Raw genomic sequence first — 16,735 nt, 5'->3', positions numbered from 1 at the left:
GTCTCTTGGGCATCTCTCCCGACTTGGGCCAGGTACACAGTGGGGTAGGGCGAATGTGCACACATTTCCGGTGGACTTGGGGGAGACCCTCTAGGTCTCCTTGAAGCACAGAGCCAGTGCACCTGGCTTCTCTGCCAGACACAGCAACAGTCACGGCCATTGGCCACAGCCACCTCCACGACAGCCACAGCTGCATTTCTCCCCCTGGGGCCGGCTGCACCGGAGCTGCCCACGTGAGTGTCCTTGGCTGACAGCATCGCAGCCTCACTCTTAGGGGTGAGCGAGCAGCAGGGGTGGTTTGGTTCAGGGACCCCAACTCTGGGAGCCCACCTGCCTGGGGCTGGACTCAGGCCCCGTGTTGCCTTGTGGGTGGGTGGGTGGCACTGCCGGCTGCGCCCACGGCGATTATACAGACGACTTGGTCTTCCCGTCGTCCCCAGCCCACAGGACTCCAGCCTCCACAGGCTTTGCCGCCCTCCCCAGGGGTCAGGAAGCCCCGGAGACCATAGGACAGAGGTGGTTTAGTCGGGAGCGTCGCCCTGGGGGTAGGTGAGGCAGGACAGGCAGTGACGCCGCAGCCTTGGCTGTGACACCACCTGGTGGGCTGCAGTCCCACTTCTGCCCCTGCCACCGGCCATGTGGCCTGCTCACCGCCCTGGGCCTCAGCATCTTCTCCTGCAAAATGGGGTCGTGATGGTTCCTGAGAGTTTGTGTGTAGAGGGCAGTGCTGGCACAAAACGTCAGAGACAGGGCCCCTCGCACCTCCTGCCCGTCCCACGCAGCTGCACCAGGCTCTGGGGGAGGGTGGGACCTGAGCTTGGTTCTTCTTGTGGGAAGCGCTCTCACTCCCTCTCTGTCCCTCTCCCTCTCACCGTCTCTCTGTCTCCGTCTCTCTTCCTCCTTCACTCTCGCTCTCCCCCAGCACAGGTCCGACAGTCTGGTTCGGTGCCCGCTGCTCTGCCGCCCTCTGGGCTCCTGGCTGGGGCTCTGCTCTGCTTCTCAGCCCGCTGCCTGCCCACTGCCCGCCTACCGCCCACCTGCTGCCCGCCTACCACCCGCCCGCTGTGGATCCTGTGCTTCACAGCCCCCGTCTCTCTGTTTTCTGGCACTGGAAGAAGACACTCTTTTTAAGACAGTCCTGTGACTCACAACCAAAGGGAGGTCAAGTGCATTTGCACAGTTGTATGCAGTCTGGGGGTCTCCGCTCAAGGCTGGGGACTGTGTGTCGGGCAGGTCCTTCGGTGCTGGGCACGGGGTCTTTCACCCTGTAGACGTCGCTTGTGGGGTCCTTGGAAACTGAGACCCCCGCTCCCCACTTTCTGATGAGAGGGCCCCGTCTGTCTTTATGCCATGGTCCAGGGTGAGTTGATTTCCTTGTGCCGTGGTCCAGGGTGAATGATGTGCCACATTTCCTGGGAATGACATTTTCCGTATGTTTTCCAGACGGCATTGGCATGGCCCACTTTGGAATCCAGCAGGTGACTTCAGGGCCCACAAGCCTCTCACCCCCAGGACCCCGGGTGCAGCCACAGCAGTTAAGGGAGACACTTAGACACTGCCGTCTTCCCTGGAAGCTTCCAGTTCCAACTCCGGGGCTGTTCGGGTTTCGTGTATTTCACTGCTGGCTTCACTGTTTTACCAACAGGGCTGACTTGGAAACGAGGACAGCCAAGCGTGTTTGCCAAGGAAAGCCCGGATCTCCGGCGTGCAGTGCCGGCTGGGGCCCCTGGCATGGGTCAGGGCCGGGATCAGGCCCCTCCAGGTTCGGATTGTCCATGGGGTGGTGCTTAGACACTGTCTCAGGGCGGGGCCCAGCACGGGCAGTGGCTGGCAACTCTCCAGCCCTGAGGGGTTCCTCCTGCCTCTGTCCTTCCTGTAGAGGTGCAGTCCCCTGGTGGGCCGTGGGGGTGCAGGGGGTGCTGGGGCCACTGCCTACCCGTCCTGGTTGGGGGTAGACCTCGCTGGGCAGAACCCCTTCCTAGCACATGGCCCAGGGGTCTGCTTGCCAGTTGGATTTTCCCTTCCCTTCCCTCTGAAATTCCCTGGTTCTTCAATTTTGGTCCCTTTTTCTGGGCCTCTCTGACTTGTCTGTAACAGAAGTGCAGAGAGGTTTGGTGGCTGCCGTTGGCCGGGACACAGGCCTGCAGAACCCGCCTTGCTGGTGACTGCACAGGCCATCCATGTGGGTGTGGGGAGCCCCTGTCCCTACACCCCCGGCTGCTCCTCAGGCCCCCAGGTGTGTCCAGCCTGACACAGGCTGACGCTCACCCCCTCACCTGCGGTTTCAGTCACATGTGGTCAGCCGTGGTCCAAAAATGTTAAATGGAAAATTCTAAAAATAAGCAATTTCTGAGTTTTTAAAATTGTGTGGCATTCTCAGTAGCAGTTGAGGCCCCGCAGTCCACCTGTCAGTCACTAGCAGCCTCTCCAGGTGGCGAGAACACAGACGCATGGGGCCCGGGCTCCACGGCTTCCGGTGTCCCTGGGGCCTTGGAGTGTTTCTCGAAGGGTACACAGTTCCCAAACGGCTGGACATTTAAACAGGTCCGGGCAGCAGAGAGACCGAACCAGCCTGGGATTTTCCGAGTTGAGGCTGTTTGCCCAGGTGTCCTGGTGTGGGATGTGCTTTCTGGCATTTTCCATGGAAGCCACGTCAGCCGCCTTCTTCCCAACTGCTAGGGCCGGCTGCTGCACTTGTCTTGGAGGTGGTTTCCAGAACAAACTTCCAGCCAGCCGTGGGGCGCAGCGCAGGGGGACTGGGCCCAGACGGGGGTCCCTGGCTGCTCTGAGCATCACGTCCTCCGCCTGACAGAGCCCTGCCTCCAGGACCTTCCTCCCCTTTCCAGGCCACGCTGACCAAGTGCTTTGCAGGCGGGCGGCTCCTGGGTGTTGCGCACAAGAGTCTAAAATCTCCTTTCAGAATGCTTGGAGGGTGCTGTGCACCCCATGGCCGAAGCTCTGAGGGTGCCCCAGGACGCAGTGGGGAGGGTCGGGGCCGAGGGGCAGCCGCTGGTGCTGGCACAGAGGCATCCACATCGGCGCGCCCTCAGCACCGCGGGCCGGGGCGGGGCAGAGTCAGAGCTGCGTCTCCTGCGAGCTCCTCCATTTACCATTCGGCGTCTTCCTATTGCGCAGAGTTTGGAAAGCCTTGCTGTGTTCAGGTGTGGCAGTGTGGTCTCTCCACCCTGGCCTGCCGCTCTTCCAGAGCAGACGCTTTGCAAACCTGCAGTTTTTCTTGCTTGATTAGGACAATAGTTTTTAAACAGCATTAGAGTTAAGGAGATAAAACTGTGCGTGTGAGCATCGAGTGGAGCATGTGGGGGCTGTGGGGGGCTGCAGGGGGGCTGTGGGGGGGCTGTGGGGTGGGGGCTACGGGGGGCTGCTGTGGGGGGCTGTGGGGGGGCTGCTGTGGGGGGCTGTGGGGGGGCTGCTGTGGGGGGGCTGTGGGGGGGCTGCTGTGGGGGGCTGTGGGGGGGCTGCTGTGGGGGGCTGTGGGGGGGCTGCTGTGGGGGGCTGTGGGGGGGCTGCTGTGGGGGGCTGTGGGGGGGCTGCTGTGGGGGCTGTGGGGGGGCTGCTGTGGGGGCTGTGGGGGGGCTGCTGTGGGGGGCTGTGGGGGGGCTGGGGGGGCTGTGGGGGGGCTGTGGGGGGGCTGCTGTGGGGGCTGCATCTCAGGCGCTGACCCTGCATTTGGGCCAGTTTTAAACAGAGCCGTACTTAGGTCCCAGGCAGGGAGGGAAAGGAGGGAGACGCGCTGTGTGAACACAGGTCTGAGAAGCGCTGACCAGAGGCCTGAGTCATTCCCGGACACCCCGGGGAATCCAAATGTGCCTGGAAAGGGAGAGGCAGTCGCCCTCCCTCCCCGACCCAGCACCCACCCACAAGACACGCTATTTCTGTACCGTCCCTGTGTGATGGAGGCCTGGGAGTGGCTGCAGCCCCGCGTGTCCCCATGCAGGGAGGAGCTTCGTCCCCGGCTCAGGCCTCAGCAGCTGCCTGTGGCTTGGGAGCGTCTGCTGTGCTTCTGGCTCTGACCTTCACTGCTGTTCTGACCTTGAGAAAAGGAGGGGTGGTCTGGGGGGCTCGGGTGGCCGGGCCCCGACTGCTGTGGTCTGGGGGGCTCGGGTGGCCGGGCCCCGACTGCTGTGGTCTGGGGGGCTCGGGTGGCCGGGCCCCGACTGCTGTGGTCTGGGGGGCTCGGGTGGCCGGGCCCCGACTGCTGTGGTCTGGGGGGCTCGGGTGGCCGGGCCCCGACTGCTGTGGTCTGGGGGGCTCGGGTGGCCGGGCCCCGACTGCTGTGGTCTGGGGGGCTCGGGTGGCCGGGCCCCGACTGCTGTGGTCCGGCATCAGTGGGCGTTGCTGCCTTCTGGCCTGCGGGGCCACTCTGTGCAGCCTCTTTTTCTTGTGCTGCTGAAGCAAAGGTTAGAGTGTAGCCCAAAGCTCTGTTAAAATAAATTTCAGAGCTTTTATTTCTTCATTCTTTAAATCCCTTCTGAGGTCTTTCTCCCGCCCTTGTGCCTTCCACTGCCTCTCTCCTTGCTGTCTGGGACATCCCACGGGGTTCCTTCTTCCCTGGGTCTGGGCTGGTCTCTCCTCTGGACTCTCAGCCGGCCTCCATGCCCCTTGCCCTTCCTGCCTCCCCTCATCCCGGCCATGGGGTTTCCTACATCTTGTTGGGAGGGGGCCGGCCAGCCCCATTCCACACACACACACCCTTAACGTCCTGACCCCAGCCCACCAGGTCTCAGGGCTGCAGCCCTGCTGCACTTTCGCCTGTTCACGTCTCTGCCTCAGGGCTGGCCTGGGCGCCTGCAGCCCTGCTGAACTTTCACCTGTTCGTGTCTCTGTTCCCCCATGGCTCTGGTGCAGACCCCTGGATGTCGCTGGTGTGAGGCCTGGCTGGGCACGCAGACCCTGGGATCCTTAGCGCCTGCTGACCCGCACCTGGGTCCCTGTTGCCTTGTCCGCCTGTTCTCTGTCCTCTCAGCTCTGCCCCCAGGGTAGAGGGCATGGCCTCCCGTTTGATTTTTTTTCCTGCTGTCTTGGCTGGGCCTGGCTCGTCGCTGATGAGCTGTTGACCACAGGCTGCCCGCTGTAGCCCTGTGTGCTGTGTCTTTAGCCAGGTGCCGTGCTCCCCTGCAGCCCCCAGACTTGGGGTTTTGGCCCTGGGGTCCACTTGGGCCTCTCTGTGCTGGCAGCCGGCCTGGGCCTGGATGGGGGCTGTAGCCCCTCGGCGTGCTCAGCTGAGGGCTGAGAGCTGCCTTTGTCTGAGGTCTCCATCTGGGCCCGCTTTGTTCCCAGGGGTATCCACTCTCTCGCTGGTGGTCTCCCTGGACCCCCTGTGGTGGGGCCCCGGCCGTCTGCACTGCTGCACGGCGTGCACAGGGTCACGAATGAGACAAGACCCCATGGTGGGGCCTTGAGACCCAGGCAGGGCCTTCCTGAGGCATCCACTCCGCATAGGCTGCGTCCCCCGTCCTGTCGGCTGCCCACTCTCTCCCGCCTCTTGCCCTAGAAACCTGCACATCAGCTCCCGTCTCAGCGTCTGCATCCCGGGCAACTGTGTGGCCCTGCAGAGGGGAGCCATTCTGTAAGATGGACTGGGACGAGGAGAAGGACGGCAGCCTTTGTGGCCGGGCACTTCCGTTCTGTGATTGCTGCTTCATGTAACTGCTCTCTTCTGGGAGAAGGAACTCAGAGGGCGTTTAGATGCTTCAGGAAGACACTTCTGGTGGGGTTTTCAGGCTGCATCATGCCTTTCTTTGAGAAACGCCCTGAGGCATCTATTTGCTGCCTGCCTCTTCGCTGTGACGTTCTGTCTCATGTAGCAGCGATGGCGTCTTTTGGACCATTGCCCTGAATCGGGAATAGGATGGGTGTTTGGGTGTTTGCTCCTGGCGCCCTGTGGGGATGCACACAGCATAGCCGGGCAGGTTGCCGGCTGCTTGTAGACTTGCGGCTTTTCAGGACACACTGGCACCTGCCGTCTGACCTTATCTGCAGGGTATTTTATTGCTCAAGTTAACTGAAGCAGAGATGAGTGACAGTACTAAGACCACCCAGGCCTCTCGCCCCTGGACAGTTCCCAGTTAGCTCTAAAGATGCTCATTTGGTCAGCCCATATCTGCGGAGAACTGCTCGGTTCAGGAGGGGATGTGTGCACACAACTATAGCTGCTGTGCCTGGTGGAAGGGGAAGTGCCACAGCCTCAGTGACAACTGTGACGCCATGAACACTCAGGGACAGGTGTGGTGGCTTTGGGGGTGATCTGGGAGCCTCGTGGAGGAGCAGACTCAGAGTGGCCTGGTGCACGGGAAGGATTGAGACACAGAGGAGGGCACTGCAGGCGGAGAGAACGCATGTTCAAAGGCGCACATGTTGGCAAACACGGAGTGCGTTTGGCTGGGGTGTAGGGCGAGTACGTCCGAGGGAGCAGCGAGATCGGCCTGGACACAGACGGACGTTGCTTGTAGGGGCTCCAGAGCCTGGCTGAAGGGTCAGTGCTTCATTCGGTGGGTGCTGGAGAGCTGTTGAGTGCTTTGGGGGACGAGGAGGGAAGGGTGGTCATAACTGTGGTGGAGACCCGCACGCTAGTCAGTGTGGTGCTACAGTATTTAGAGAATGGAAAGGGAAGGCGTTTGGGAAATGGGTCATTTGGCTGGAAAGGAGCAGTTGTTCCCATAGGAGCAATCGGGTTATTCCAGGCTGGAACAGTTTGAATCACGGAGGAGGGTGAGTTGTACCCAGGACATGGATGGTCAGCCAGAGCTCATACTCTGTGCAAACTTCCCGGCCAGGGTCCCCAGTACTGAGCGCTATGAGAAGGTGGCTTCAGGCAGGAGGTCGGCTCACAGATGGGCAATGCACAGGGTTCCGAGCCGGGCGTGCAGAATCACCCAGTGTCGGACAACGGCTGAGATGCTGTTGAGGTGACTGTGAGAGAGGCGATTTGCTAGAGGAGGCATGGGTCGGTGAGCAGCTCTCAGACCCGATCCTGCGCCAGGGTCACCCTGCATTTTCGAGAACGTGGACTCCCAGGCAGCACGCCGGGGTGGGCCTGCGCACTCCCTTCCCAGCACACCGATGCCGCCAGGGCCACCTGGAGAGCACCCCTTTTCCGGCACACCGATGCCACCCAGGCCACCCAGAGAGCACCCCCTTCCCAGCACACCGATGCCGCCAGGGCCACCTGGAGAGCACCCCCTCCCGGCACACCAGTGCCACCCAGGGTGGCATCTTCCTGTAGGCAGATTTTCCCAGTCGTTGTGTGAAAAATTAACGTTGATTAGCTTGTAGTACCAAAGAGGATCGTGGTTTTATGTCATAATTGCTCTGCCCCCACACACTCTGCTGAGTCAAGTAAACACAATAGCTTAACTTTTACTGGATTAGAAAGTGAGACAAAACTCAGGATTGGACTTATTTGCTCAAATCACAGAATTGTGGAGTTGGAAAGAGACCCAGGGTCACCTGAGGCCCAGCCACTCAGCTTACAGATGGGGAAACTGAGGCCTGGAGAGGTTGGATGAGTCGCCCCAAGCCACCTGGTTTTGGAAACAGCCGGGCCCATCATCCTGTCCCTCAGAGTGCCTCTCCTGAGCCTTGCCTGCTGCTTGAGCTCTTTGATGACTTGTGAGTGTGAGTGGACGCATGTGAAGGTGTGTGCATGACATAAACAAGTCTCCATTAATCAGCCGCAGGAAGGAGTGAAGCCCTGAGACTACAGCATGGAAAAATCTAGAAAACATGAGGCTGCATCAAGGAAGCCAGGTGCAGGAGGCCACATGTGTGATTCCATTTCTGTGAGATGTTCAGGACAGGCAAATCTGTAGTGATAGAAGGTGGATTAATGGATGCCAGGGACTGTAGGGAGGGGAGATGGGAGTGGGAATGGGTATGGGGTTTCTTTTTCGGGTCATGAAAATTCTCTGGAGTTAGTGGTGATGGTTTTATAGCTCTGTGAATATACTAAAAACCACTGTGTTTACACTTAAAGGGTGAATTGTATGATATGTGAATTACATCTCAATAAAAAATAATTGCAGAAAATTACTGAAAAGCCCCAAATTATTCACCAATGGAGGATGATAGGTAGCCAAGTCATTATTTGAAAACCCAGTAAATAAAAGGGAATAATCAAGCATTTATCCTGACTTTCCTGTGTGAACTTCACTGATGGGTTACTAAATAGTAAATTCCGCTTATAAAATTATTTCATTTCATGAATTAAAATGAAAGGTAGAATAATAGCATCACCTTTAACCCCCTACTAGAGCAGCAGATGAAGTACATACTGCATGGTTCTGTTGAGCTGAGATGTAAGAATAGGGTGACTCTAGAACTCTGAAGAGTGCTAAGCTTTAGGTGGGGCGGGATATGAGAGGAGATTCTGGAGCGGGGGAGCCCGCGCCTCGGTCTCGGTACTGACTGTGTGGCTGTGCACATATCTAAACGTGTGAGCTCTATTTACTGAGTGTATATTATAGCCCAACAAAATGCATAAATAAAAATAATACAATTAAATATAAGCTCTAAAAGAAGTATTTATTTATACCCTTTCTTGCTCCAAAAAAGGATGTCAGGTAGAATGTGATGCATGTGTACTAAACACATTCACATTTGCCAATGTTGCCTCTATCAATACTTAGGTAAACATGTTTTTTTTAAGTTGCAAAATACACATAACATGAAATTCAGCATTTTAAGAATTTTAAAGTGTACGATTCAGTGGCATTTAGCACATTTACAATGCTGTGCAGCCATCATCCCTCTCTAGTTTCAACACTTTGTAATCACCCCAGAAGAACATCCTTTAAGTAATCACTTCCCATCTCCTGGCAGCCACAAATGACATATCACATTTTGTTTATCCGTTCATGTGTTGATGGACATTTGGGTTGTTTTCACCTTTTTGGACTATTGTGAATAGTGCTGCTATGAACATTCGTGTTTGTTTTGATTTGCACACCAGTTTTCAATTCTTTTAAGTATATACCTAGGAGTGAAATTGGTGGATCATATGGTAATGCTATGTTTAGTTTATTGAGTGGTGGAATTGAAGGTAACCTGCTCATATTTCCCACAACAACAAGAATTCTGTACCTATGCACAGTCAAAAGTCTCTCTGTGGGACTCTTGGGATTCAGACATTATCATACATCCACAAGCACCAAGAACATTCAGGCAAATGTGACCTTACGAAATGGATAAAATAAGGTGCGAGAGACGGGCCCTAACATGATGATGGAGATGTGTGATCTCTCAGACAAAGGATTCAAAATAGCTGTTTTCAGGAAGCTCAATGAACTTCAAGAAAACAGAGACTGAATTTACAAATTTATCAGAGAAAGTTAACAGATTGAAGTAATAGAAAAAATCAAATGGAAATCTTAGAGCAGAAAAATACAGTGAATGAAATGCAAAAATGAAAGAGAGAGCATTAGTAGCAGAACTGATCAAATAGAAGGAGGAATCAGTGAGCTCAAAGACAGAGTATTTGAAAATACACAGAGAAGAAAAAAGAAAAAAAATGAAAAGAAATGAAGAAAGCTTACAAGATCTATGGGACAACATCAAAAGAACAAATATTCAAGCTATCAGAGTTAAAAAGGGAATTGAGAAAAACAAGGCAGAAGAAGACCTATTCAAATAAGTAACAGCAAACTTTCCAACCTGGAGAAAGATAGAAATATTCAGGTACAGGAAGGTCAAAGGTCACCAATCAGATTCAACCCAAATAAGAATAAGACATACTATAATCAAAAAACTCTCAAAGATCAAAGAGATGATGTCAAAAGCAGCAAGAGAAAAGAAGCAAACAACATTTTGGGGAGATCCAATATACCTAGCAGCAACTTCTCAGCAGAAACCTTATAGGCCAGGAGGGAGTGGGATGATATATTCAGAGTGCTAAAGGAAAACAATTGTCAACTAAAAATAGTGTACCCAGCAAAGCTATCATTCAGAAATGAAGGAGAGATGGCAGCTTTCTCAGACAAACAAAAGCTGAGGAGACTCATCACTACCACACCTGTCCTACAAGAAGCCCTAAAGGGAGTTCTTCAAACCAAAGGAAAAGGATGCTAATGTGATTGTCATACTAATACTGTAATTATGGTGTGTAAACCACTTCTATCTTTTGTAAGAAGAATGAAAGACACAATTAATAAAATAATAACCACAACAATTAGTTAGGAGATAGGCAATATCAAAATATAAATTGTGACACCAAAAATTCAAAATATGGGAGGAGAAGAGAGTTAACATGTACATGGTTTTGTCTCTTTTTTTTACAATCAAAGGTAAGTTGGTATCAGTTTTAATAACTTGTTATAACTACTGAATGTTTTTCATAAGCCTTATGAGGGCTACAAAAGGAGGTCAATTCAGCAAGGTGATATAACAATAGTAAATATATATGCACCCAGTACCAGAGCACCCCGATATATATAAAGCAAATATTAATATATCTAAAGAGAGAGACAGACTGTAATACAATAATAGTAGGGGACTTCACACCCCACTTTCAGCAACGGGAAGGTCATCCAGGCAGAAAAATCAACAAGAAGCATTGGAGTTAAACTATACTCTAGGCCAAAAGAGCCTGACAAACATTAACAGAATATTTCATCCAACAGCTGCAGAATACACATTATTCTCATTGGCAAGTGGAACATTCTCCAGGATAGACTATAGGTTAGCTCACAAAACAATCTCAAAAAATTAAAAAACGTCAAAATTATATCAAGTCTCTTTTCTCAACACAATCAAAAAAACTAGAAACCATAGCAAGAGGAACTTTGGAAACTATGCAAACACATGGAAATTAAACAACATGCTCCCGAATGACCAGTGGGTCAGGGAAGAAATTAAGAGGGAAAATTTAAAATTTCTTGAAACAAATGAAAATGGAAACATAACATACCAAAACCTATGGGATACAGCAAAAGCAGTGCTAAGAGGGACATTTATAGCAATGAATGCCTATGTCATAGAAGTAGAAAGACTTCAAGTAAACAACCTAGTGATGCACCACAAGGAACTGGAAAATCAAGAAGCCAACCCCCAAATTAGTAGAAGGAAAGAAATAACAAAGATCCGAGCAGAAATGAATGAAATTGAGACAAAAGAGACAAAAGATCAACACAATGAAAAGCTGATTTTTTTGAAAAGATAAAATTGACAAAGCTCTAGCTAGACTAAGAAAAAAAAAAGATAAGACCCCAATAAATAAAATCAAGGATGGAAAAAGAAACATTATAACTGATAGCACAGAAATACAAAGGCTCACTAGAGACTATTATGAACAGCTATACACCAATACATTAGAAAACCTAGAGAAATTTTATAAATTCCTGGACACATACAACCTACCAAGGTGGGGCCATAAAGAAACAGAACCTGAACAGACGTAGAAATCAGAACAAAAAATCTCCCAGCAAAGAAAAAGCCCAGGCCCTGATGGATCATTCAAACATTTAAAGAACTAATACCAATTATATTCAAACTAATCCAAACAAATGGAGAGAAGGGGATACTTCCAAACTCAAGCAGTGAGGTTAGTGTTACCTGATACCCAAACCAGACAAGGACACAACACAAAAAGAAAACTAAAGGCCAATGTCTCTGATGAACACAGACACAAAAGTCCTCAGCAAGACACCAGCAAGCAGATGCCAGCAGCACATTAGAAAGACCATTCAGCATGACAGGTGGGACTCATCCAGGAATGCAGGGATGGTTTAATACCTGCTCATCAATAAATGTGATCGGTCACATGGATATAACCCAGAACAAAAACCATGATTATTTCAGTCAGTGCTGGAAAAGCATTTGATACAATTCAGCATCCCTCATGACAAAAACTCAACAGATTGGGTATAGAGGAACATACCTCAAAATGGTAGAGCCTGTTGATGACAAAACCATAGCTAACCTCATACCGAATGGGGAAAGCTCAGAAACCTTTCCACTGAAATCTGGGACACGACCTCACACCAAATGGGGAAATCTCGGAAGCCTTTCCACTGAAATGTGGGACATGACAGTGGAGGGGGACCCATGTGGCCCCAGACCCTTCATCTTTCACAGCAGGGAGCCAGCAGCTGATTTTAAGTTGATCTAAGAAATAGCAATGGGACTGTTATTTAAAGTTGAAATGCTAGCTCAAAAAACTAAGAAATTAGTAACTGTGGTTATTTCTAGAGAGTGCGTCTACAGATGGGCATGGGGCTTTAGGGCTACTCTTAATTTTTAATCTTGGACTCCTATAGTTGAAAGTTTTCTACCATGCATTTCTGGTATTACTGAACAATAACACCACCAAAAAACATACATATATATGTATGTAACAGATTTTATAGGGAAACCTTCAAAAATAGAATGTTCCCACCTCTCTCCACCTTCTACTTGAAACTTTGAACTGGAGTTGTAGATTAAGGCTCTGGAACCTCTTGTATTTTCTCCAGGAAAAGGGAACTGGCGTTCTTTTTGTTACGCATACCTGAGGGCCAGCCCTGTGAATTTAGAGGAAGCAAGGGTCTGCGTGTTCACTGCCTGAGCCTGCTGCAGAGACGCCCGTGCCCGTCAGGCATGTGTGCTTGTCACGTGGGCTCTCTGCTGTGAGGTGTTTTTCTCTTGTAGTTTCACAGCCCATGCTCCAGTGTGGGCAATGTGAACCCAGACTCACGCTGTGATGAGCTCAGGGGGCAAGCCTGCCTGGTCGGAAGCGGAATCTCCTGGGACAGGAGACCCAAAGTGATGTGTTGTGGACCTTTTGCTGCCACGCAGGGAGGAGCCTCGGTCCCTTCTCTTCAGAGACAGTTTCTTCATCTGTCTGGTCTTACACCAAAAATATTAACTGTCTCAAAACTGTTGCCACAATCATGTACCCCCATTTTGCCATCATAAAACAAAACAAAACAAAATTAAAGACAGATATTTCTCTGACTCAAAGCAAATATATAACCAAAAAGACAGTAACAAGTGCTGACGAGGGTGTAGAGACATGGTAACGCTTGCGCTTTGCAGGCAGGTGTGAAGGCACGGCCCTGGGCAGGCAGCCGGGTGGCTCCTAGGGTAATTAAACCTGTTGCCGTGCGGCCCCACCCGTTGGTAAATAATCAAGAGAATCCCAAAGCTGTCCGTGTTCACATGGGAACTTGTGCACACTTCACAGCGGCACCATTCACAACAACTGAAAGCTGGGAACAGCCCAAACATCCATCAGTGATTAACAAATACACAGAATGCGTTCCATCCGTGACATGAAATATCATCTGGCCAGGAAGATGGGCAGAGCTGTGACGGGCTAAGCACGGGCGAACCTTGAAGACAGGACGTTCAGTGAAAGCAGCCAGGCACAGAAGGGGAAGGACCGTGTGGTCCCATTCCATGAAATGTCCAGGACAAGCAGACCCACAGAGACACAGAGTGGACTCGTGGTTGCCGGGGGCTGGGGGAGGAGGGTGGGTTTCGTTCAGGGGGACGGAAATGCTCGCGTCAATCGTGATAACGGTTGCTCAACTCGGAATACACTAAAAACCACGGGATCGTGCCCTTTAAAAGCAGGGAGTTGTGTGGTGTCAATCAAGACACCCACACACGTGCCGTGAACACCTGTGTGCAGGCTGTGGGGCGGCCGTGCGCGGCTGATGTCTGTGCAGGGCTGATGTCCGTGCAGGGCTGGCCCAGGCCTGCCCTTTCCTCCTGCTTCCTGGGTCACCGGGCAACTCTTCTGCAGCTGGGAGCAGGGGCTAAAGGCGTTCCTTAGTTCTGCGGCTGGATCAGACAGCACCTTCTGCTTGGTCCTCTGCCTGGGCTTGCCGGGCACCTGTGCGGGGCTCAGGTGGCCGCCTCCTGCCCTCCATGCCAGGGAAGATCAGGTTGTATTCAAATCACCCTCTGTGAGGTTTCCACCAGGTCCTCACCTTCATTCTCTGCAGCTTTCCCCTTCCCCCTCCCCCCTCCTCCCCCCCTCCTCCCCGCTCGTCTCCCCTCGTCTCCCCTCGTCTCCCCTCCTCTCTCCTCCTCCGAACATCCCTGCCATCTTGGTCTCTTATTTTCTTCACCCTTTTCAGCTGCTCTGCCCCTCTAATGAGAACTATTAGAAATTGCTGTGCAAGTAGCAGAAAGTGCAGCAGGAAGGAGCGAAGGAGCAGAAGGCTTAGGGGACAGAGCCCTGCTGGGAGGCTTGAGGGGAGCTCCACCAGGGATTCGGGACTCGCCAGGCTCTGCTGCCCTGGGAGGAGGAGCTGGGGGCTGTCCCTGCACCGCTGTGCTGGTAATTATGAACTTCATATATGGTGGAGTTTTTAATCCCTATTTATTTCTTACGGATCGTCTCTACTTTGTTTCCATAATCTTATTTATTGTTATTAGTAACCAGGGAACATTTTACCATGTGAAAATTAATTTGGGAATTTTAGGGCCAGGCACAGTGGCTCACGCCTGTAATCCCAGCACTTTGGGAGGCCAAGGCGGTTGGATCACCTGAGGTCGGGAGTTCAAGACCAGCCTGACCAACATGGAGAAACCTTGTCTCTAATAGAAATACAAAATTAGCTGGGCATGGTGGCGCACGCTTGTAATCCCAACTTCTCAGGAGGCTGAGGCAGGAGACTGTTTGAACCTGGGAGGCGGAGGTTGCCGTGAGCCAAGATTGCACCATCGCACTCCAGCCTGGGCAATAAAAGTGAAACTCCGTCTCAAAAAAAAAAAAAATTAATTTGGGAATTTAAATGTGCAAATCTGTTCAAATCCATCAAGTATGGCCTTCAGATAAGGAAGTCGAAGTGTGATTCTTCAGGCATTCCTTTCCCTAGGGGGCAAGAGGCTTACACTTGAAGGAGCCCAAGAGAATTGCTGTAGAAGGGATCAGAGCAAATGGCTGGGAGCTCCAGGGCGGGGAAGACTGAGAACCTTCCTTATGTGGCCCTGAGAGTGAGCAGAACTGTGGCTCAAGGGTGTGCAGCTGAGGTGTTAGAAAATAAGTCACACAGCAGAATTTTTTAAGTCTAAAGGCACGTTAATCATTGACATTTCCAAAATATTATTCCTTAATTGTGTAGGCCTTCACATGTCTATTTTAGATTTGTTGTGTGTGTATCTGTGACTGATGTGTCTCTCTTTCCTTTTATTTTTTTTTGAGACAGGGCCTCACTCTGTCATCCAGGCTGGAGTGCAGTGGTGTGATCATGGCTCACTGCAACCTCCACCTCCTGGGATCAAGTGATCCTCCCACCTCAGCCTCACAAATAGCTGGGACTACAGGCGTGCGCCACCACGCCCAGCTAATTTTTTGTATTTTTAGTAGAGATGAGGTTTCGCTATGTTGGCCAGGCTGGTCTCCAACTCCTGGGCTCGAGCCATCCGTCAGCCTCAGCCTCTCAAAATTCTGGTATTAAAGGCAAGAGCCACCGCGCCCGGCTCATTATCCGATTTAAGGTTTTTGGAAGGAAATGCTGCTCCCAGAATCAGGCTGTGTGTGTTGCTGCCTCCGGCCCTCCAAGGCCCTCTGATAAGTTGTCTGAAGTTATCTGTCACTGAAATGGGTTGTGGTGGTGTCGGGCGGGCGCCCTGCTGGCCCCGGGAGCCGTCAGCCCCATGTCAGCCTGGAAGGAGCTCCACTGAGACTTGGGGCTCTGAGGCAGGCTCGTTCCTGCTGGCACTGCCCGGGGCCCTCCCTCCAGAGGCGCAGGCCGGGGCTGCAGAGCGGGTGCAGGTGACTTTGCCTTCCCAGGTGCCCCCGCAATCCCGCCGGCTCTGGAAACTTGCTCATTTCAAAAGCTCGTGTAGCGCGCCCATCTCCAGGAGGTCTCTGCGTGGACTCCTGCTGCCAATCTTCAGGAGTTTTATGCCCAGATAAACACAGCCCCCATTCAGAATCCCATCACATACGCTGAGGACGAAGGGAATAAATACTCCAGACTCACCACTTCCCCGTGATTTCCCCACAAGGACGAAGGGAATCGATACTCCAAACTCACCACTTCCTGTGATTTCCCCGCGAGGACGAAGGGAATAAATACTCCAGACTCAGCACTTCCCCGTGATTTCCCCGCGAGGACGAAGGGAGTCGATACTCCAGACTCAGCACTTCCCCGGGATTTCCCCGCGAGGACGAAGGGAGTCGATACTCCAGACTCAGCACTTCCCCGGGATTTCCCCGCGAGGAGGAAGGGAGTCGATACTCCAGACTCAGCACTTCCCCGGGATTTCCCCGCGAGGACGAAGGGAGTCGATACTCCAGACTCAGCACTTCCCCGGGATTTCCCCGCGAGGACGAAGGGAGTCGATACTCCAGACTCAGCACTTCCCCGTGATTTCCCCGCGAGGAGGAAGGGAGTCGATACTCCAGACTCAGCACTTCCCCGGGATTTCCCCGCGAGGACGAAGGGAGTCGATACTCCAGACTCAGCACTTCCCCGGGATTTCCCCGCGAGGACGAAGGGAGTCGATACTCCAGACTCAGCACTTCCCCGTGATTTCCCCGCGAGGAGGAAGGGAGTCGATACTCCAGACTCAGCACTTCCCCGGGATTTCCCCGCGAGGACGAAGGGAGTCGATACTCCAGACTCAGCACTTCCCCGGGATTTCCCCGCGAGGACGAAGGGAGTCGATACTCCAGACTCAGCACTTCCCCGGGATTTCCCCGCGAGGAGGAAGGGAGTCGATACTCCAGACTCAGCACTTCCCCGGGATTTCCCCGCGAGGAGGAAGGGAGTCGATACTCCAGACT

General features: G+C 52.5%; 1 protein-coding gene across 5 annotated transcripts in view, besides 1 other annotated feature; it reads left to right on the top strand.

Annotated features, from left to right (window-relative positions):
- Positions 1–16,735, top strand: part of RASA3 (RAS p21 protein activator 3) — a 154,841-nt gene that overhangs the window by 29,351 nt on the left and 108,755 nt on the right. The window contains exon 1 of one of the 5 annotated variants that reach the window (XM_047430156.1): positions 14,081–14,278. The exons of the other annotated variants lie outside the window; for them this stretch is intronic. Coding sequence (XP_047286112.1) covers positions 14,092–14,278 — 187 coding nt within the window. The 5' untranslated portion in view covers positions 14,081–14,091. Of the gene's footprint in view, positions 1–14,080; positions 14,279–16,735 lie in introns of those variants that run through there. 5 annotated transcript variants of the gene reach the window in all.
- Positions 15,500–16,699: an enhancer, noted in NCBI's record as "P300/CBP strongly-dependent group 1 enhancer chr13:114852049-114853248 (GRCh37/hg19 assembly coordinates)". NCBI's record gives its function as "activates an origin of replication core promoter dependent on BRD2, BRD4, P300/CBP, MED14 and CDK7 cofactors, with strong dependence on P300/CBP, by STARR-seq in HCT116 cells {active_cell/tissue: HCT116}" and the evidence as "EXISTENCE:reporter gene assay evidence [ECO:0000049][PMID:35650434]".

This window comes from Homo sapiens, chromosome 13, assembly GCF_000001405.40.
Source record: "Homo sapiens chromosome 13, GRCh38.p14 Primary Assembly".
NCBI lineage: Eukaryota > Metazoa > Chordata > Mammalia > Primates > Hominidae > Homo > Homo sapiens.
Note: the sequence above shows the minus strand (reverse complement) of the source record. Positions and strands in the feature narration are given on the sequence as shown.